The 23,260-nt window shown below is 38.6% G+C and overlaps 2 long non-coding RNA genes across 2 annotated transcripts in view, besides 1 other annotated feature; one reads left to right on the top strand and one right to left on the bottom strand.

The window, feature by feature from the left end:
* ZNF45-AS1 (ZNF45 antisense RNA 1) overlaps positions 1–5,471 on the bottom strand; it is a 33,949-nt gene extending 28,478 nt beyond the window's left edge. The window contains exon 1 of the long non-coding RNA NR_184050.1: positions 5,193–5,471. This is a non-coding gene — a long non-coding RNA (ZNF45 antisense RNA 1). The remainder of the gene's footprint in view (positions 1–5,192) is intronic.
* Positions 5,531–5,600: an enhancer, noted in NCBI's record as "active region_14745". NCBI's record gives its function as "activates an Ori minimal core promoter by ATAC-STARR-seq in GM12878 lymphoblastoid cells {active_cell/tissue: GM12878}" and the evidence as "EXISTENCE:reporter gene assay evidence [ECO:0000049][PMID:35858748]".
* LOC100505715 (uncharacterized) lies at positions 5,534–15,533 on the top strand. Its single transcript, NR_038334.1, has 3 exons — positions 5,534–6,300; positions 6,383–6,469; positions 14,197–15,533. It is a non-coding gene; the product is annotated as an uncharacterized LOC100505715 (long non-coding RNA).
* The last annotated feature ends 7,727 nt before the right edge of the window (positions 15,534–23,260 follow it).

Below are 23,260 nucleotides of genomic sequence, written 5' to 3'. Positions count from 1 at the left end.
AATTCCAACTTCATTCTTTCTTTGCAGACAGATATCCAGTTGTCTTACCATAATTTGTTGAGAAGACTATTCTTTCCCCTACTAAATGGCCGTAGCACCCTTATTGAAAATGAATCGACAGTGTCAAGACTTACTTCTGGACTTTTAAATCTATTCCACTCATCTCTATGTCTACCCTTGTGCCAGTACCACACTGTAGTTTTCCAGTAACTTTTGAAATTGGGAAATGCGAGTCCTCCAACTTTGTTCTTCCTTTCTAAAGTTGTTTTGGTTATTTTGGGTCCCTTGTGTCTCCATATGAATTTAGGATCAGCTGGTCAATTTCTAGAGGCAGTGGGGTTGGGAGGGGGGAGCCAGCTAGGATATTGTTAAGGACTGCATTGAATCCATAGGTCAATTTGGGAGGTATTGGCATCTTAACAATATTAACTTTTCTTATCCATGAACCACAGATGTCTTTCCTTTTATTTAGGTCGTCTTTAATTTCTTTCAATGATGTTTTATAATTTTCAGTGTACAAACTTTCCTCTTCATTTGTTAACTTTATTCCTTAAGTATTTTCTTCAAATTCTGTTGTAAATGGAATTGTTTTCCTACTTTCATTTTTTGATTATTCATTGCTAGTGTGTAAGAACACAATTTTTTTGCATATTGATCTTCCTGTAACTTTGCTGAACTCATTTACTAGTCTTATTAGTTTTTTGTGATTTCCTTAGGACTTTATGTATATAAAATCATATCTGCAAATATAGCTTTACTTCTTCATTGTACTTCTTCATTTCCATATGGATGTCTCTTATTTCATTTATTTGCCTAGTTGCCCTGGCTAGAACCTCCAGCATGTATCAAATAGAAGTGGTGAGAGTTGGCTGGGCGTGGTGGCTCATGCCTGTAATTCCAGCACTTTGAGAGACTGAGGCAGGGAGATCACTTGAGGTCAGGAGTTCAAGACCAGCCTGGGCAACATGGTGAAACCCCATCTCTACTAAAAATACAAAAATTAGACGGGCGTGGTGGTAGGTGCCTTTAATTCCAGCTACTAGGAGGCTGAGGCAGGGGAATCCCTTGAACACGGAAGGCGGAGGTTGCCGTGAGCTGAGATCGCGCCACTGTACTCCAGCCTGGGCAACAGGGCAAGACTCCTGTCTCAAAAAAAAAAAAAAAAAAAAAAAGTGGTGAGAGTGCACATCTTTGTCTTGTCCCTGATCTTAGAAAGTACTCTGTCTTTCACCATTAAGTATGATATTGGCTGTGGGTGTTTTATAGGTGGTATGTTGAAGAAGTTCCCTTCCATTTCTAATTTGTTGAATGTGTTTTTTATCATGAACAGGTGTGCACATTTCATGGATTTCTCTCTTTTTTTTGTTTCCTTCTGCCTACTTTGGGTTTCAGATGTTCTTTTTTTCTTGTTTCTTAAGGTAAAAGCTTAGGTCACTATATTAGTCTGTTCTCACACTGCTATAAAGAAATCCCTAAGACTGAGTAATTTATAAAGAAAAGAGGTTTAGTTGCTCACAGTGCTGCAGGCTGTACAGGAAACACAGTGGCTTCTGCTTCTGGGGAGGTCTCAAGGAGCTTTTACTTATGGCACAAATCACATGGCTGGAGCAGGAGGAAGAGAGCAAGGGAGGAGGTGCCATGTACTTTCGAACAACCAGATCTCCTGAGAATTCACTCACTATACAGTACCAAAGGCGGATAGTGCTAAACCATTCATGAGAACTCCACACCCACGATCTATTCACCTCCCACCAGGCCCTACCGTCAACACTGGGGATTACAATTTGACATGAGATTTAGTGGGGACACAGATCCAAACCATATCAGTCACTGATGGACGAATACAGTGTTTATCTTAAGAAACAAGAGAAAAAGAAGAGCATCTGAAACCCAAACCATATCAGTCACTGAGACACTCTTCTCTTTTAATATAGGCATTTAATGCTATAAATTTTCCTTGAAGTCTTATTTTATCTACATCCTATATGTTTTGATATGTTGTTTTTATTTTTTATTTTATTTTATTTGACCTATAGACTCTGAAATGCTGGCCGGGTGTGGTGACTCACACCTGTAATCCCAGCACTCTGGGAGGCCCAGAAGGGCAGGTCACTAGGGAGTTGGAGACTAGCCTAGCTAACATGGCGAAACCCTGTCTCTACTAAAAATACAAAAATTAGCCTGGTGTACAGCTTACACCTGTAGTCCCAGCTACTTGGGAAGCTGAGGCAGGAAAATCGCTTGAACTCAGGAGGTGGAGGTTGCAGTGAGCTAAGACTGTGCCACTACACTCCAGCCTGGGTGACAGAGCAAGACTGTCTCAAAAAAAAAAAAAAAAAGTTATTTAGTTCCTGCTATCTTTTTGTTATTGATTCCTAATTTAATTCCATTGTGGAATAGAGAATGTATTTTATATAACTTGAATCCTTATAAAGCTTTTGAGATTTGTTGCATGGTCCAGGTTATGGCCTATCTTGACATATGTACTTGGAAAAATTGGGCAATTTGCTGCTGTTTGGCAGAATGTTAATGTCAATTAAATTTAATTGGTTGATAATATTGTTCAAGTTTTCTCTGTCCTTATTGATTTTTCATCTATCAATTGTCAGCAGAGTATTACTATGTTTAACTATAATTGTTATGTCAATTTCTGTAGAGTTTTACACATTTTTGTGTTTTTGGTCTTTTATCCAGTCTGTTGTTCATTCTGGGTCATTTCTACTGTTCTGTCTTCCAGTTTCCTGATTCTTTCCTCTGTTCTTTCCTTTCTGCTGCTGAGTACATCCAATGAGTTTTTAATTGGTTACTAAATTTCTCAGGAGTCAAAATTCCTTGGTGTTCCATTATATCTTTGATTTCTTTGCTGAGACATTCTATATTTTAATTTATTTCAAGCATGTTCATAATTATTGTCTGAAGCATTTTTAAGGTGGATGCTTTAAAATTCTTGTCAAATAGTTCAAATATTTCTATCATCCTAGTGTAGGCATCTATTGAGTCTTTTTCATTCAGTTTGAGATCTTCCCAGTTCTTGGTGTGGTAAGTGATTTTCTGTTAGAACTGAACATTTTTGGTTTTCTGATCTGAGGCTCTGGATCATACCTAACAAAGTACCACCGACTGGGCAGCTTAAACAACACCAATTAATTTCCTTACAGTTCTGAAGGGTAGAAGTCTGATATCAAGGTGTCAGCAGTATTGTTTCTTGTGAGGTCTCTCTCTTTGGCTTGTAGATGGCCATGTTCTTCTGGTAAACGTGCTACCTTCACACACCCTTTGTGTATCTGTGTCCTGATCTCCTCTTCTTATAAGGATACCAGTCATACTGGATTAGGGCCCACACCAAAGACCTCATTTAACCTTAATTACCTCTTTAAAGACCTTATCTCCAAATACAGTCCACATGTTGAGGTACTGAGAGTTAGGACTTCAACATATGAACTCAGGGAGTGGAGTACACAATTCAGTTTATATCACCTGTTCTCCTCTGACATCACTGTGGTAGGGGAAGTGGATCCTGCCTCATTATTATTAGGTGGTGACAGAAATCCAGATTTCCCACTCAGCCTCCATTGATACCCACAGGGGGGCTCCTCATTACTAGTGGCAGGGGTGGGAGTTCCGGTTTCCCACTAGACCTCCACTGATACCTTTCTAATTTGGAGGGAAAGGAGTGCCTTATTACTGCACTCCATGTGGCTTCTACTGTTAGCACTGGGTTGAGGGGTGGGGAGGAAAGTCCTAACTCTCCAGGCAAGAGTGGAAGCATGGGTCTTTGCTGGCATGCTGGGGATAGTGCTGAAGGTTTTTCCTGTGGTGTTTTGACTAGAGCATGGCAGTAATTGTCTAAAAGTTTTCCTTCTTGCTAGGCTGCCCTCTTCCTTGTCTTTTGGCTAAAGACAGCAGGCTTTTGCTGGGACTTTTTTGTCTGTGCCCATTGGTGTATTGGGACTGCTAGCTTCTTTGGCTTTAAGTCTGGCACAAAGGAGGCACAAAGAAAATCAAGGGAACTCAGCACCAGTCTACCTTTTCTCTACCACTCAGTGTTCTTTTTCTCTTTTTTTATAACTAATGCCCAGGGTTTTTATTGTACTTAGCTGGACAAATAGAAAAAAGTACATCTATTCCATCTTCCTGGAGGTCCCTTCTCAATTTTCTTTTTCTTTTTTTGTAGGGGGAGACAGAATCTCACACTTTCTCCCAGGCTGGAGTGCAGTGGCACGATCTCGGCTCACTGCAACCTCCACCTCCTGGATTCAAGCGATTCTCCTGCCTCGGCCTCCCAAGTAGCTGGGACTACAGGCACGGGCCCCCACACCTGGCTAATTTTTGTATTTTTACTAGAGACGGGGTTTTGCCATGTTGGCCAGGCTGGTCTCGACCTCCTGACCTCAAGTGATCCACCCACCTCAGCCCCCCAAAGTGCTGGGATTACAGGCATGAGCCACCACGCCCAGCCTTTTCACAATGTTTAAAATACCAATTTTCCTGAAAAGTACCCATATATTGAGTGCAATTCCAATAAAAATGGCAATGCCACAAACATCCCCATTCATGTATTTTGGTGAATATGTATACACTTACATTTGGGTTAAAGGTAAGAATGGAACTGCTAGGTTATAGCAAATGCATATATTCAAATTCAATAGATCTTGCCAAATAGTTTTCCCAAGTGATTATATCAATTTATACACTCGCCAGTAGACTACGATATTAAGTTTCTTTGACCTTAAAATTCATTTTCTTATTTTGAAAGAAAACATTTCTGTGGGCTCTCGGTACTTTGCCCATTCAGCCTAATGGATAAGTAGGCCATAGTAGTATTTACCTTGGACAAATCAGCCAGACTCGTATTTTAAGTGAGAGAATGGCAATTGGGCATGAGAAATTTCAGAGTGGGAGTAGGAGTGAAGGGAGAGGGCTTAAAAAATTTACATAATCTCAAAATCTGAAACAAACCATTTCATGTCCAAAGTAACACACTTAGAAACAAACCATAATCCGGAATACAACCCCATCCATGTTCTCACACAATGAATTTCACAATGTCACAGAGTGAAAACACAAAACGCACAGGCATTCTTTCTCTAAAACCAATGCACACTTAACGCCTTCTGTGCTCCTGGAGCTACTATAGGTGCTGGCGCTACCTGGGAGCGCGAAAAACAAAAGCCCCTGTCCTCAGCTCGCACCTAGAATACCAACCGTGGACCATACGCTGGAGCTCGCCAACTTCTCCTCTCACACGCAGGTTTGAGGCTTTGAGGTCTGCATGCCCGTGCTCTGCCTTCTCCAGCCGAGACTCAAGATTCCACTCGCCTCCTCTAAACACGCAGGACGACCTGAAATCATAGCCCTTAATAGAGCAAGTCAACCAACGGTACAGATGGTCAAGCTCTTGCTCATGTGCCCTCCGAGCATAGGCTACAGAATGGCGGGCGCCGTGGACATGGTTATTCCGGGTGGACTACATTTCCCAGAAGTCACCGCGCTAGGGTCACCCTCGAGCTCTAGATCTTTTTCCGGTGTCCGAGCTGCTGTAGCCCCTACGTGGTGAGTAGATCGTCTCCACAGAAATCAGCGGAGGCTTCCACAGTCCCTGGTTGGAATGGAACCGGCGGTGAGGATGAGAGGCGCTGAAGACCAGAAGACCCAGGGCGTGAACGGGGCGTGTCATCCCTGGAGTTTCAGTAGAATTTCAGGCCTGTCTGCTTGAGCAGCAGAGGAGGAGTTTCTGTGTGCCTGTGAGAGACTGTGTGTGTGTGTGTGTGTGTGTGTGTGTGTGAGATGAATGAACAGGGTTGTGTACGTGTGTGTGCGTTAGACAAATGAACAGTGTTGTGTACCTGTGTGAATTGTCACTGTGACTCCAGGCTCTAGGCTCTGCAGATTCCTCAGCCCTATCGCCTCACAGACACTTGGGATGTGCAGCAGGTAAAAGAGAGAAGCCAGATTCATGGAGGCGTGAAGGATCCCAGCAAGAAAACACAGACTTGATCTTGAGACGAGATTTTTGAAATTGGTTGCGGCCTCAAGGCAGGCTCTGAGAAGACTCGATAAAGAGTTCTCAGGAATAGGCATCCCTCCTGGATATTTCCCCCTTGGAAGCGCCGAGGAGCCAGCTCTATGTTTGTAACCATAGCATTTCTAAAGCTCCAGCCCCAGGAACCTGCTGTGAATTAGAGACAGATTCCACCCTAGGCATCACTGATCTTGGCCTCTCTTGTATTGGGAAGGTCAACACTGTTCCAGTTTCTCTCCTACTCCCATCTGGTTGTGCTCGGTGAAGTAGGTGAGCAGGTATGATCATTGAGGGTATTTTCTAAGTTACTGTGCTATCCAAGAAACCCCAGCTGTCTCATGATTGCCTTCTCTTTTCCAGTGCTACCCTTCTGTTAAAAAAAAAAAAAAAAAAAAGATCCTGAAAGAGGAAAGAATTTTTGCTACACATCTGAAAGCTAAAGTCCAGGTGAGTTTATATTTCCTCATTACTTGTAAGATGCTCTTTAATTTTAAAGACATGAGACCCTTTCTTCTCTTTGGAAATGTCCTGCCTAACAGTGACGTATCTGTGAATATGCCATTACAGCCTCCTTTCAAGGCCCTTAAGCCCTTCTCTTCATAATTTATTTAACCTTTTGCCTACTGCGAGCTATTATGTTTCTAATTGTTGACTAAAAACTAGTCTATAATGAACACCATTTTGCAGAGATCTTTGCTTCCTTTTATAGCCATTCCCTGAGGATAAACCCTAGTTTCAAAATTTGAGTCAAATATCAGATATTTACCATGTGCTTGTACTTGTTAGGATACAATGACAAAAAGATATAGTTGCTATCCTCAAATGACTTGGTATCCAGTAAGGAAAATGAAATCGGAATAGGGATAAGAAAGATAGTTGATGTGAAAGGCCACTAGAGAAATTCAGATGACCTGTCTTGGGAGTTCACAGGGAAGAGGCATCTTTCTGGCTATAGCAGCATTGTCAGGATATGATCGAACTGTGAGAACTCAGTGAAAGAAAATGGATCTTATACCTTAGAGTTTTTATTCTAATGATGTTAAATGCAAAGTGACATTAAATGGAACACGATGTCTTAACAGCTGCTTGTAGGACACTGTGATTAGGAGGATAGATTCAGAAGTAAAATAAACCCATCTATCAGGAATGTATAATAGGAAGCAGCTTTGAGACTACCAGTAATGCATACGAAATATCAGAGTCTCCGATTTACATTGACATACATTTCTACAGGCAAACGAATCATAGGGTGGGTTCAGGTAATGGGAACTGATGAAAATAAAGTAAAAGCTTTCAATAAAACACAGCAGCAGTTTTTAGAGCAGCGCTGGTTCTCAAATGTAGGATGCATCAGAATCACCTGCAGGGCTTGTTCAAACAGTTTGCTGGGCCCCAGCCCCAGAGTTTCTAATTCGGTAGGTCTGAGGTAGAGCAGAGAATCTGCATTGGTAACAAGTTCCCAGGGACTATATTTAGAGGACCTTTGTTCTAGAGTATACTAAGTTTTCTCCTCCAGATCAAAAGATATTTAAAAGGTAAGGCAGGGAGGATTTTTTCCCACTTGTTCAGAGAAAAGATTGCTCTGTTAAAAATTCAAAAATCTATCTAACTGTGTCTCAAGACAAAAAGATATAGTTGCTATCCTCAAATGACTTGGTATCCCAGTAAGGAAGAATAAATCAAAATAGGAATAAGTAAGATAGTTGCCTTTTTAAAAAAAGTTTTAATTTTATGAAATATACTTTTAGGAATAGGCAGAAACCCAGGACTATAAAACAAATATTAAGTAAGTTAATATATGGGTTTATGTTTTCCATACTTTTTTCAATTTATTGATGTCTGTCCGTTTTTCTCTATATATTGATAAATACATATATTTTATAAATGTAATCATATTTACATTTGCATAATTGTATACATTTGTAACTCAATTCTTTTTTTTTTTTTTTTTTTTTTTAGACGGAGTCTCGCTCCGTCACCAGGCTGGTGTGCAGTGGCGCGATCTCGGCTCACTGCAACCTCCGCTTCCCAGGTTCGAGCAATTCTCCTGCCTCAGCCTCCCGAGTAGCTGGGATTACAGGCCCATGCCACCACGCCCAGCTAATTTTTCTATTTTTAGTAGAGACGAGGTTTCACCATGTTGGTCAGGCTGGTCTCGATCTCATGACCTCATGGATCCACCCGCCTCAGCCTCCCAAAGTGCTGGGATTACAGGCATGAGCCACTGTGCCCGGCCCGTAACCCAATTCTTAAACAGCTTTATTAACATATAATTCACATGCCACAAAATTCAGTCATTTAAAGTATACAGTTTAATGTATTTAATATATTCACAGAGTTGTGCAACCATCACCACTGTCAACATGAGAAAATTTCCATAACCTCAAAAAGAAATTCCATACCCACTAGCACTCACTCTGCATTTTCCCCAGCCATAGACAACCATTTATCTACTTTCTGTCTCTGAATTCACCTCTTCTGGACATTTCATATGAATAGAGTTATATAATAAGTGAAGTTTTGTGACTGGCTTCTTTCACTTAGCCTAGCGTTTTCAAAATCCATCTGGGTTGTAGCATATATCAGTACTTTGTTTCTTTTTATTGCTGAATAATATTCCATTGTATGAATATGCCACATTTTTGTTGTTTATTCATCAGTTAATGGACATTTAAGTTGTTTCTACTTTTAGCTATTATGAATAATGCTGCTGTGAACATTTGTGTACAAGTTTTTGTATAGACATATGTTTCTATTTCTCTTAGATATATACTTAGAAGTGGAATGGCTGGGTCATATGGTAACTCTTTTGAGGAACTGCCAGATTATTATCGAAAGTATCCCTTTACATTCCCCCCAGCGTAAGAGGGTTCCAGTTTCTCCACATTCTTAGCAACACCTGTTATTACCTTTCTTTTTATTATTGTCATCCTCATGAGTGTGAAGTGGGTATTGTGGTTTTGATTTGAATTTCTCTGATGACTCATGGTGTTGAGCATTTTTTCCTTTGTTTATTGGCCGTTTGTACATCTTTGGAGAAATGTCTATTCAAATTCTTTGCCCCCTTTTTAATTGCTTTTTTAAAAGTTGTAACCTAATTTTCTTCACTGACAATGTAACTTGAATGTTTTTATTCCCTTAAACAGCTTCCTAAACTTAGCATTAAATGGTTGCTTAATATTTCATTATATGGATGCCCTGTTACATATTTAATTAATCAGCTGTTGCTGAGCTCAGAATGGTGAGAATGCCTGCTTCTACATGCTGTTCTCCTTTCATAGAGTGATCAGCTCACTTCTTTCTATTCCTCTGGGCCACATGGGAACTTCAGTCTTTATAATTTCAGAGATAGTAACATCTGAGAACGTGGCAGCATCCTCTACTGTGTGGAGCACTGATCACTGCACTATTTCAGACGGACTTGTAAATGATTGTGATACTGAAAAGCTACAGGAGCAGACTCTTTATGATCAACTCTTTAAATTCAAAATATGATTTCTAGAGCTTTTTTATCCCTTAATGTGACCCTCTAGAGAGGCCCTGGAGTGTTTGAATTTATGAAGGATTTCTTTGAGATTCATTGATCATTCCATTCTGTTTTCCTTGAAGCATCATTTTCTTGGTCCCTCGGGTGGCTTTCATTTGGCCTTTCTTGTATGGAACCTCTCTGCCACAGGATTGTACTGGAATTTTTCAAAAGCCTCAGCATGCCAAAGTCCCATTTCTTTTTTCATATGCAGATATTTCCTGCATGTTGGAAACAATTGATTTTTTAACCAAAATGGCTTATTTCTAAGGTAGGTGCAATTCCTGAACTGGAGCAGGGAGTCCAGTCCTCATAGGTGGAGAGTGTAGTGACAAGAGGATTTATCCAAGTGACTTAGGGAAAACCAGTAAAAGGAAAACTGTTGTATATCAGTATTCAAAACTCAGAGCCTTGATATTCTAATTTGAGACAACTCAAAGACTTTAGGACTTGGGAGAAAACAAGGCCTCCTCACCGTACTCCAAATATCACTGTATTCATAACTTATTTTATTACATTCTCTAATATTAGATTGATTAGCTCTATTATCATTTTTTACTATAAAAGTAATACATTCTCATATAGTAGTTCAGAAAATACAGAAAAACCCAAAGTGAGGAAACAACAACTGTAAACATTTTACTCCAGATCTTTTTGGTTGGGTACGGTGGCTCATGCCTGTAATCTCAGCACTTTGGGAGGCCGAGGCAGAAGGATCACTTGAGCCCAGGAGTGTGCGACCAGCCTGGGCAACATAATGAGAGCTCATCTTTACTAAAAATAAATTAGCCGGGTCTGGTAGTATGCACCTGTAGTCCCAGCTACAGGTCCATGCCACCACCTGAGACGGGAGCATAGCTTGAACCCAGGAGGTCGAGGCTGCAGTGATCCGTGTTTGCACCACCACATTCCAGGCTGAGTGACAGAGTGAGTCCCTGTCTCACACACACACACACAATATATATATGTATATCTCCATCCCTCAAGGCATATGCATATATTCATATGTGTTATTTTACCCACCATAACAGAATAACAGTTTGTAATGTAATATTTTTACTCATTATCATCAAATAAAGTTCTGTCATCACTTTTTATTGAAGCATGTATCATATACAATAAGGTGCCCACATCTTAGCTATATATATAATCCAATGAATTTTTGTATTTGAAAGGATCAGTGTACTCACCAGCCAGATGAAGACACAGAAGATTTCTGTGCCCTGCTTTAGAGGATTTTTCTGTGTCCTGTCCTAGTTAGAATCCACTGTTCTCCCATAAGGAGTAAGTGCTATTCTGACTCCTGTCACTCAAGATAAGATTTGCGTGTTCTTGAACTTCATATAAATGGAATCTCTTGTATCTCTCTTTTTTCATCCAAACTGGTACTTCTGGAATTCACCCATGTTGTTTTGGAAATCAACAGGGCTTTTTTTCAATTGTTATATAATCTTCCTTTATATGACCACACCACAATTTTTTATTCATTCTCATGATGATAGGTTTGTAGGTTCCCCAAGTTTCCCTCGCTCTCTATGTTTCACAGAGCGCCTTGATCTCTCTGTGACCTGTTCAGCTGCATGTTTTCCCTGCAGGTTTGAACCCAAGCCAAGGCCTTGAACATTCCCAGGCACTAGTGAAGTTGTGTAGGTTATGGCCTGAAACACTGGAAGATCAGAATGTGTTGCACAACACACAGAAGCTAGCTGTGATCCTGAGCCAAATTTCTTAAGCCCTCTTATAAATTTCATAACCCAGCCCATTTATTGTGGACATACCTAAGTAGATGGGCCTTCATTAAAATTAAGAACATCTATTTATAATAAGACATGATTAAGAAAGTGAATAAGAAGACACAGGCAACTCTTTCCTCTCTCTCTCTCTCTGTCTCTCCCTCTCCCTCTCCCTCTCCCTCTCCCTTCCCTCTCCCTCTCCCTCTCCCTCCCTCCCTTCCCTTCCTCCCTCCCTCCCTCTCCTCCTCCACCCTCCTTTTTATGTCTGTATACACACACAAAAGACTTGTGTTCAAAATACATTTATAAATTCCTAGAAATCAATAGGAAAATGACAAATCAAATTAAAAAATGGGGAAAAGAGTTGAATGACCCAATAGTATATCAAAATAGATAATATCATATGAAAAGGTGTTCCCATCATTATCAGGAAAATGTAAATAAAAATCACAATGAGATACCACTACACATGCACCAGAATAGCTAAAGTTAAAATGTCTGACAACACGAAGTATTGGCAAGTTTGAGGAGCAACTGGACCTTATATACATTGCAGTCTGATAAACTAGGTAAACCACATCCTCCCTTAGGTATATACCCAAGAAAAACAAGAATATATGTCCACACAAAGACTTGTAAAGGGTGTTCATAGAAGTTTTATTCATAGTAGTCAAATACCAGAAACAACCTTATTTTGTCCTGCTGAACACTCAGCTGGAGTCACCCCAAAAGCAGTGGCAGGGGAGTTCCCTAAAGGGACTGCCCCAAACCATCCCAGGATGGGGCTGTTGGGATTCCAAAGAAAGAAACAGCAATACCAGGGTGACCAATTCAAAGTGTTTATTAGCAGAACTTATGTACATAGGGGAGCTGCAGTGTATCCTCACATTGGACACCAAGATAAGAGATGCTAAAGTTAGTGGGTGAAAGTTTGAGGAGAAAGAGGATTTGCATAGTGTTAAAGTATTACCCTCCCAAGATGTTTATTAACTACAAATGGGAAGGTAGTAATGTACAGAAGGAAAACACAGGAGAAAACACTTTAACCAAGTGATGAAGGTTAATGTCACCAGTAATAAAACATTGATATCATGCACCCTTGGACATGATGATGCAATGTGAAAGACACAGCATCATTACTGTGCCACTGCCAAGAATACATGCCTCATTTCAGTTATAAAAACACATCATACAAACCCAGCGGGGGGAAATTTGACAGAATAAATTATTGGTACTCTTCCAAATTGAAAGGACATGAAGATAGGTATGACAGGCAGATGTTAGGTGGCCCCATGATTCCCACCTCCTGGAGTCCACAGCCTTGTTTAGTCCCCTCCCCTGGAGTATGAGCAGAGGTGGTGACTTGCTTCTAATCAGTGGAAAATGGCAAAGGTCAGGAAATGTCACTCCTCTCATTAGGTTAATTTATATGGCAAAAGTCATGGGTCAAATGGTATTTCTGGTTCTAGCTCCTTGAGGAATCTCCCATTACTGGGTATATACCCAAAGGATTCTAAATCATTCTACTATAAAGACACATGTACACGTATGTTTATTGCAGCACTATTTACAATTGCAGACTTGGAACCAACCCAAATGCCCATCAGTGATAGACTGGATAAAGAAAATATGGCACATATACACCATGGAATACTATGCAACCATAAAAAAGAATGAAATCATGTCCTCTGCAAGGACATGGATGAAGCTGGAAGCCATCATTCTCAGCAAACTAATGCAGAAACTGAAAACCAAGCACCACATGTTCTCACTCATAAGTGGGGGTTGAACAATGAGAACACATGGCACAGGGAAAGGAACAACACACACTGGAGCCTGTCGGGGAGTTGGGGGGCAAGGGGAGGGAGAGCACTGGACAAATTACCTAATGCATGTGGGGCTTAAAACCTAAATGTCAGATTGATAGGTACAGCAAACCACCATGACACATATATACCTATGTAAAAAACCTACACATCTGCACCTGTATCCCAGAACTTAAAGTAAAATAAAAATGAATTAATTAATTTTGAAGAAAAAGAAACCAATAATCCAATTTAAAAATGGGCAAGGACTTGAATAGACTTTTTTCCAAAGATGACACGCAAATGGTTAAGTGGTACCTGAAAAGCACATCAGACAAATGCAAATGAAACCACAATGAGATGTTACCACAATACCTGTTAGGATGACTATTATAAAAAGAAAGTAGGTAAGTGGGCTGGGCGCGGTGGCTCACCCCTGTAATCCCAGCACTTTGGGAGGCCGAGGCGGGCGGATCACGAGGTCAGGAGATTGAGACCACGGTGAAACCCCGTCTCTACTAAAAATACAAAAATAATTAGCCGGGCACGGTGGCAGGCGCCTGTAGTCCCAGCTACTCGGGAGGCTGAGGCAGGAGAATGGCGTGAACCCGGGAGGCGGAGCTTGCAGTGAGCTGAGATCGCGCCACTGCACTCCAGCCTGGGTGACAGAGCAAGACTCCGTCTCAAAAAAAAAAAAGAAAAGAAAAGAAAATAGATAAGTGTTGGTGAGGATGTAGAGGAAAGGGAACACTTGTACACTGTTGATGGCAATATCAATTGGTATAGCCATTATGTAAAACAGTATGAAGGTTCCTTAAAATAATAAAAATAAACCTATCATATGAAAAAAAAAAGTGACGAGATGTCTCTACTGTGATTATGTTATACCATATAAGACTCATAGCAGATTGGACTTCTTTTGTGGGCTTGATGAAGTAAGTGGCAATGTTGGAGAAGCCCATCTTGCAAAGGAACTGCAGGTGGCCTGCAGAACCTGAGGGCAACCTCCAGCCAACAGTCAGCAAAAAGGTGAGGCCCTCAGTCGTATGGCCACAGGGAAATGAATTCTCCCTACAATCTGAATGAACCTGGAAATGAATTCTCCCCCAGTTGAACTCCAGAGGAGAACACAGCCCAGGTAACCCCTCGTTTGCAGCCTGTGAGACCAGCCTGAGGACAGCACCCAGCTAAACTCCAGGTCCATGGAAACTGTGAGATTTTATATATTTATGTTGTTTTAAGCTAAATTCGTGGTAATTGGTTATGGTAGCAACTGAAAATTAATGCAGTAAGAAAGTCTAAGGAGATCGGAAGAGACTAAAGAGAAATAACAGCTAAATGCAACGTAGATTAATGTGTGGGATCCTGGAAAAGAAAAAGGACATTAATGGGAAAACATATTTGAATAAGATGTGCAAATTTTTCGTATTGTACCAATGTTAATTTCCTGGTTTTGATAATTATCCTTTGGTTATGTAAGATAAACGCTAGAATGAAGGGTATATGAGAACCCTCTGTACTACTCTTGCAACTTTTCTCTAAGTCTAAAATAAGTGGAAATTAAAAGTTAAAACAAAAAAAAAGGAAAATTTTATCTATCCCAAGACCACAAAGTTATTTTTCTGTTTCTTCCTCCAGAATCTTTATTGTTTGTTTTCACACTTAGACCTATGATCCATCTTGAATTTATATCTGTGTATGTAGTGGGATGAAGTTCAAAATCATTTTTTTCATACAGATATCCAAGTGCACTGGCACCGTTTGTTAAAAACACTGGCCTTCTCTTAAGCTGCAGTCAGACTTTTACTGTAAAGCATGGGCCCATATATGTGCAGGAGTCTTTCTACTTTTCCGTTGGTCCTCTTTGTCAATCTTTGTGCCAGCACCTCCATTTTAATTCCTGTAGCTTTATATTATATCTTGATAATCTGGTAATATAAGTTGAAGAACAACTTTGTTCTTCAAAATCACTTTGTCTATTCCAGGTTCTTTGCATTGCTCTATAATTTTAGAATGAGTTAATTAATTTTCTCAAAACAAACAAAACGCCCTGCTGACATTTTGTTGGCAGTACATTGAATCAGTAGATAAATTTAGAGAGAATTATCTCAAAATTGAGTCTTACAGTTCATGAACATGGAATACATTTCCATTTATTGAATTCATCTTTAATTTCTTTCCTTAAGGTTTTGTTGTTTCCTGTCTAAAGGTCTTGCACATCTGTTAAATTTATTCCTGTTTTACATTTTTTATGTTTTTACAAACTGTTAAGGTTTTAAAAATTTTATTTTTCAGTAGCTTTGCTTTAATATAATTGTTTTATACTTTTACCCTTTATTCAGCAATAAATTATTTAATTTAAAGCTTGTGGAATTAAAAAATATTTTTATGTACATAATCATGTAATCTACACTATCTGCAAATAAAGATCATTTTACTTCCTTCCATTTACACCTTTTATTTTTTCCTTATAATATTGGATAGGTCTTCTACTACAAAATTGAAAAGACATGTAAGAGTAGACAACCTTACCTTGTTCCTGAAATCAGAAAGACAGTGGTCCATATTATGTATAATGATCCCTTTATGTACAATGGTAGTTGTAGTTTTTATTCTTTAGGTCCCCTTTATCAGATGAAAGAAGTTCCCCTCTAGTCCTGGTTTGCTGAGAATTTTTATCATGATTAATGTTGTATATTGTTAAATGGATTATTTCTAATGAAATAATTGAATGGTTTTCTCCTTTATTAGTTAACATTGAAAGATTACATTGATTTTTTAAAAATTAAACTTATACTTGTTTGAGGTTATGGTAAAAAATTAAATTAAATGGCCTTTGAATTTCTAAAATAAAGCTCTCTTGGTCAATATGTTACTGGTTTCTCTTTGCTAATATTTGGTTTAATATGCTTGCGTCTGTGTTCATGAAACAGATATATTGTAATTTTCCTTTTATGTAATATCCTCATCTGGTTTTGATATCACAGTTATTCTGGCCTTATGACATAGTTTGTTTTTTTCTATTTTCTAGAACAAGTTGAGTTTGATTGGCATTTTTAATTTCTTAAATGTTTGGGAGAATTTGCTACTGAATCCTCTTGGCCTGACATTATTTTTGTGAGAAGATCCTTAATACAGATTTAATTTCTTTAATAAATAAAACAATATTTAGATTTTCAATTTCTTATATCAGTTCAAATTGTGTTTTCAAGGAATTTTAAAATTTCATCTACATTTTCAAGTTTATTAGAAAGTTATAAAGTTGTTCATACAATTCTGATTTTAATGTATGTAGTAAAATAGGTAGTGTTATCTTCTTTTATATTCCTGATATTGGCAATTTTTTCTTGATCAGTGTAACTAGAAGTTTATTATTCTTATTAATCTCTTCAATGAAATAGCTTTGGCTTTATTGATTTTTCTTTATTGTATATCTGGGGTTTTTTGTGTTATTGGTTACTTTTGGTATGTTATACTTTCTATAGGTTTAATTTGCTTTTCCTTTTCAAGCTTCTTGATGTATATCACTGATTTTCAACCTTTCTGTTTTGACAAAACATATATTTAAAGCTTATATCTTCATAAGCATTGGTTTACCTGCGTCTCACAAGCTTTGATATATCTTACTTTCACTATCATTTAACTCAAAATATTTTCTAGCTTCCATTGATTTATTATTTGACCAGTAACTATTTAGAAGTATGCCTTTTACACAGGCACATCTCATTTTATTGCATGTTGCTTTATTGCACTTTGCAAATATTGCAATTTTTACAAATTGAGATTTGTGGTAACCCTGCATTCAGCAAGTATATTGTCTCTGTTTTTCAACAGCATGTGCTCATTCTGTGTCTCTTTGTCACATTTTGTAATTCTAGCAATATTTAAAACTTTTCCATTATTTTTATGGTGATCTGTGATCAGGGTCCTTGGTGTTACTGTTGTAATTGCTTTGGGACACCGTGAGCCACACCCATATAAGACGGTGAACTGAATGAATATATGTTATGTGTCTTCTGACTGCTCCACCGACCAGCTATTCCTGTCTCTCTTCCTCTCTTTGTTTTCCTGAAACACAACAATATTGAAATCAGGCCAGTTAGTAGCCCTACAATAGCCTCTAAGTGTTCAAATGAAAGGAAGAGTCCTCTGTTTCTCACTTTTAATCAAAAGCTAGAAGTGATTAAGCTTAGTGAGGAAGGCATGTCAAAAGCCAAGACGGGCCAAAAGCTTGACCTCTTGTGCCAAACAGTTAGCCTAGTTGTGAATGCAAAGGAAAAGTTCTTGAAGGAAATGAAAAGTGCTTCTCGAGTCATATGGAGATACTGCAATACAGAGAAAGATTAGTGGTCCACATAGAAGATCAAGCCAGCCACAAAATTCCCTTAAGCCAAAGCCAGAGCAAAGACCTAACTGTCTTCAATTTTGTGAAGTCTGAGAGACATGAGGAAGCTACAGAAGAAAGGTTGGATGCTAGCAGAGGTTGGTTCATGAGGTTTAAGGAAAAAAGTCATCTCCATAACATAACAGTGCAAGGTGAAGCAGCAAATGCTGATATATACGCTGCAGCCAGTTGTCCAGAAGATCTAGCTAAGATTATTGATGAAGGTGGCTACATTAAACAAAAGATTTTCCATGTAGACAAAACAGTCTTCTGTTGGAAGAAGATACCATCTAGGACTTTCATAGCTAGAGAGAAGTCAATGCCTGGCTTCAAAGGACAGGCTGACTCTCTTATTAGAGGCTAATGCAGCTGGTGACTATAAGTTGAAGGTGATACTCATTCACTATTCTGAAAATTCTAGCGCCCTTAAGAATTGTGCTAAATCTACTCTGCCTGTGCTCTAGAAATGGGACAACAAAGCCTGAATGACAGCACATCTGTTTATGGCATGGCTTACTCAATATTTTAAACCCACTGTTGAGACCCAATGCTCAGAAAGGAAAAAAAAGACTCCTTTCAAAATATTACTGCCGATTGACGTTCCACCTGGTCATCCAGGAGCTCTGTTGGGGATGTATGGAAAAGATTAATTTTGCTTTCATGCCTACTAACACAACATCCACCCTGCAGCCCATGGATCAAGGAATAATTTCAACTTTCAAGTTTCATTTTTTAAGAAATACATTTCATAAAACTCTAGCTGCCATAGATTGTGATTTCTCTAATGGATCTAGGCAAAGTGAATTGAAAAGCTTCTGGAATGGATTTAACATTCTAGATGCCATTAAGAACACTCCTGATTCATAGAAGGAGGTCAAAATGTTTAACAGGAGTTTGGAAGAAGTTGATTCCAACCCTCACAGATAACTTTGAGGGGTTCAAGACTTGAGTAGAGGAAGTAACTGCAGATGTGGCAAAAATAGCAAGAGAACTAGAATTAGACATGGAGCCTGAAGATGTGGCTGAATTTCTGCAATCTCATGATAAAACTTTAATGGATGAGGAGCTGCTTCTTACAGATGAGCAATTAAAGTGGTTTCTTGAGATGGAATCTACTCCTGGTGAAAATGCTGTGAATGTTGTTGAAATAAAAACAAACAATTTTGAATAGTACACAAGCTTAGTTGATAAAGCAGCACCAGGGTTGGAAAAGATTGACCCCAATTTTGAAAAAAGATCCCCTGTGGGTAAAATGCTATCAAACAGCATCACATGCTACAGAGAAATCTCTTGTGAAAGGAAGAGTCAATTGATGTGGCAAACTTCATTATTGCCTTTTTTTTTTTGAGACAGAGTCTCGCTCTGTCACCCAGGCTGGAGTGCAGTGGAGCGATCTCGGCTCACTGCAACCTCTGCCTCCTGGGTTCAAGCGCTTCTTCTGCCTCAGCCTGCCGAGCGAGTAGCTGGGACTACAGGTGCGTACCACCATGCCCAGCTAATGTTTGTATTTGTAGTAGAGACAGAGTTTCACCATGTTGGCTAGAATTGTCTCGATCTCTTGACCTTGTGATCCACCCACCTCAGCTTCTCAAAATGCTGGGATTACAGGCATGAGCCACCGCACCTGGCCCATTATTGTCTTCTTTTAAGAAACTGTCATAGCCATCCCACCCTTCAGCAACCCTGATCAGTCAGCAGCCATCAACATCAAGGCAATACCTTCCACCAGCAAAAAGATTATGACTCTCTGAAGGCTCAGATGACCATTAGCATTTTTTAGCAATGAAGTATATTTAAATTAAGGTATGCACCGTATTTTTTAGGGATAATGCTATTACACACTGAATAATACAGTATAAACATATCTTTTCTATGCACTGGGAAACCAAAAAATTCATGTGATTCACTTTACTGCAATGTTCACTTTAGCATGGTGGTCTGGGGCCAAGCCTGCAATATCTCCACAGTATGTCTGTATTTGGAAACATTTGAGAACTGCCTCTTTTTGAGTTCTAAGCTAATTGTAAAGGCTCAGAAAATATACATTGTTTTATGTTAATCCTTTGTAATTTATAGATACTTACTTTATAGCCCAGAATGTTATTCTGATAAATGTGATGTAATCATTTGAACAGAATGTGTAGTCTGCAGTTTGGTATAATGTTCATTTGGTTCAATTTGGTTAATCTTCTTCACACTTTTATGGCTTTGTGGATTTTTTTTTCTTTTTTTGGTGTTCCTATTAGTAGTTACCAATAGAGAGTGTTGAAATCTCTAACTTTAAAATTTGTCTGTCCTTTAATTCTGTTGACATTTATTTTATATTTTTTGAAACTATGTTATTAGGTACATACAAATATAGGACTACTGTTGTATTCTTGCTGAATTGCAGAATATGACCCTCTTTATTACTTACAATACTTCTTGCATTAAAATCTACTTTATTTGTTATTAGTATAGCTGTGTCTGTTTTCTTCGCAATACTGCTTGATAGATTTTTTCCATTTTTTTAAACACGTGTCTTTATATTTAGAGAACGTTTCTTGTAAGCAGCCTAATTGATCCTATTTTTCTTTTTAACCTAATCTTATAATATTAGTTTTGAATTGCAATGGTTAGTTCATTTGTATTTACTATAATTACTATAATTAGTATAAGTATAAATTATACTGTAGTAATATACTATAATTTATATTTACTGTAATATAAGCCTGCCATCTTGCTATATGTTTTCTGTTTCTTTATATTTTTAATTGCTCTTTTCCTGATTTTTTTGTATAAATTAAGTTTTTTTTTATTATTCCATTTCATCTCCTCTGTCAGTTTTTTTTGTTTTTTGTTTTTTGTTTTTTGGTTTTTTTTTTTTTTTTTTGGAGATGGAGTCTCGCTCTTGCCCAGGCTGGAGTGCAATGGCTCGATCTCGGCTCACTACAACCTCCACCTCCCAGGTTCAAGCAATTCTCCTGCCTCAGCCTCCCGAGTAGCTGGGATTACAGGCACCCACCATCATGCCTGGCTAATTTTTGTATTTTTAGAAGACACGAGGTTTTCTCATGTTGGCCAGGCTGGTCTCGAGCTCCTGACTTCAGGTGATCCACCCGCCTCGGCCTCCCAAAGTGCTGGGATTACAGGCATGAGCTACCATGCCTGGCCTCTTCTATCAGGTTTTTCAATTGTACATGTTTGTACATTCTTTTGTTTTATTTATTTATTTTTTGAGACAGGGTCTTACTCTGTTGCCCAGGTTGGAGGGCAGTGGCACAGTCTCGGCTCACTGCAACCTGCGCCTCCCAGGTTCAAGCAATTCTCCTTCCTCAGACTCCCAAGTAACTGGGATTACAGACACGCCACCAAGCCCAGCTAATTTTTGTATTTTTAGTAGAGACGGAGTTTCACCATGTTGGCCAGGCTGGTCTCAAACTCCTGACCTCAGGTGATCTGCCCATCTCAGCCTCCCAAAGTCCTGGGATTACAGGTGTGAGCCACCACTCCTGGCTGCCAAGATATTATAATATAATGTGCATCTTTAATAGAGTCCCCGTAGTGTAAGGGCATTTCAATAGTCATTAATAGAGGTTAATGTGTTAACTCCATTAACCTCCTTGCTCACCATTTTTGCTATTATTGTCATTCCTCCATCCTATATTACAAGCCCCATAAAACATTATTATTTTCGTTGCTTTAAATAATTCATTTGTTTAGTCATATCAGTCATGTCTTTACTCCATCTACAGCTGTTCATTGCTTGTTTGCATATTCATGCTTCCATCTGGGATTACTTTCCTTTAGCCTAATGCTTTCTTTTAGTATTTCTTATATTGTGGGTCTACTGATAAAGAATTATCTTAGCATTTGTTTCAACAAGTATTTATTTCACCTTTATTTCTGAAAAATTTTTTCTCCGGGTATAAAATTCAGAGTTCTCAGTTTTTTTCTTTCAGCACTTTAAAGATATAAATTCCATTCTTTAGGCTACTATAGTTTCTAGTGAGAAGTCAACCATTTTTCTTACTGTTTTCTTATAGCTGACAGCTTTTTTTTTTAAACAATGTGGTTTTAAATTATGTTTTTCAATGTTGTTTTTCAGCAGTTTGACTATGATATCTCTAGGTGTGAATTTCTTCATTTTATTTTGATTAGGTTTGACAACTTTTTTGATTTGTATATCAAGGTATTTCCTGAGATTTGGAATGTTTTTGTTTATTATTTCTTTAAATAATTTTTCTGTCCCATTCTCTCTTATTTTCTTCTAGATGTTCAGTGTCACATTTTCACTGTTTCTTGCATTTTTCTTTTCAATTGTGTTCTCTTTTTTTCTCTCTGCATAAGATTATTGTTAATTTGAGGCTCAGTGCAGTGCCTTATACCTGTAATTCCAGCTACTTGGGAAGCTGAGGTGTGAGGATCACTTGAGCCCAGCAGTTTGAGGCTGCAGTGAGTTATGCTCATACCACTGCACTACAGCCTGGGTGACAGAACCAGACCCCATCTCTAAAATAATAATAATAGACATAGAGGATTTTTTGAAAGAAAGATTATTGTAAATTTGACTTAATGTTGCATAATAAGCTCTTTTTTTGAGACGGAGTCTCACTCTGTCACCCAGGCTGGAGTGCAGTGGCACGATCTCAGCTCACTGCAACCTCCACTTCCCCAGTTCAAGTAATTCTTCTGCCTCAGCCTTCCAAGTAGCTGGGATTACAGGCGTATGCCACCACACCTGGCTAATTTTTGTATTTCCAGTAGTGACGGGATCTCACCATGTTGTCCAAGATGGTTTCAAACTCCTGACCTCAAATGATCCACCCGCCTTGACATCCCAAAGTACTGGGATTACAGGCATGAGCCACCGCAATAAGCTCTTAATTAATTTTGTAATTCTAAAATATTCATGTGATTATCTTTTCAGATCTGATACTCTATTGATTTACTCCATTTTGCAATCCATTTTGCTCATCTTTTCTTTTCTTTAGCATGTTAATCATATTTTCAAGCCCTTGTCTGCTACCTCCCATATCTGGATTCTTTGTGAGTCTGTTTCTGTTGAGATTTTTTTTTCTCCTGCTCATTAGTAACTTTTTCCTGTTTTTTTGTGTTTAACAGTTATCATGTGTTGGCATAATCTATTATATATTATAGAGACTCTGGATTACGTTATCTTCCTTTAATGAGTCTACTTCAGGGTTTTTCACCCTTGACACTATTGACATATTTGGCTAGCTAATTCTTTGTTTTAGGGACTTTCCTGTGCATCACACATTGTTTAGCAGCAAACCTGGTCTCTTTCCACTAGATACCTTAACACCTCTGCCTACATTATGACAACCAAATGTGTCTCCAGACATTGCCAAACGTTCTCTTAAGAACAGATTCACTGCCTGTTCAGAACCAGTGATCTACACAATAGTTTTTAATATCTACCTTATTTTCCATTATGTGAATACACAGTCATTTATTTAATTAACTACCTGTCTATGTCTCTTTAGATTTTTCTCCAGCTTTTTTCATTACAACTAATATGTATCATCACATTCTTTTATACATCTTCGAGCACATTTTATAATTATTTCTTTTGGACAGAGTCTCAGAAATGGCCTTTCGTGGTTAAGTTCTTATGCAGAGATTTGCTTACCTGTATTAATGCCCTTGATTTTCACAAGTCTACAGGACACCATGAGAATGCACTTTGCCCTACAGCCTCACTAATATGTGGTACATCATCAACCTTTTAAATGTGACAACTAAATACCTGTAAAATGACAGTATCTTATTGTTTAGAAACATCTCTTT

Source organism: Homo sapiens, chromosome 19, assembly GCF_000001405.40.
Source record: "Homo sapiens chromosome 19, GRCh38.p14 Primary Assembly".
In the NCBI taxonomy this organism is placed as follows: Eukaryota; Metazoa; Chordata; class Mammalia; order Primates; family Hominidae; genus Homo; species Homo sapiens.
Note: the sequence above shows the minus strand (reverse complement) of the source record. Positions and strands in the feature narration are given on the sequence as shown.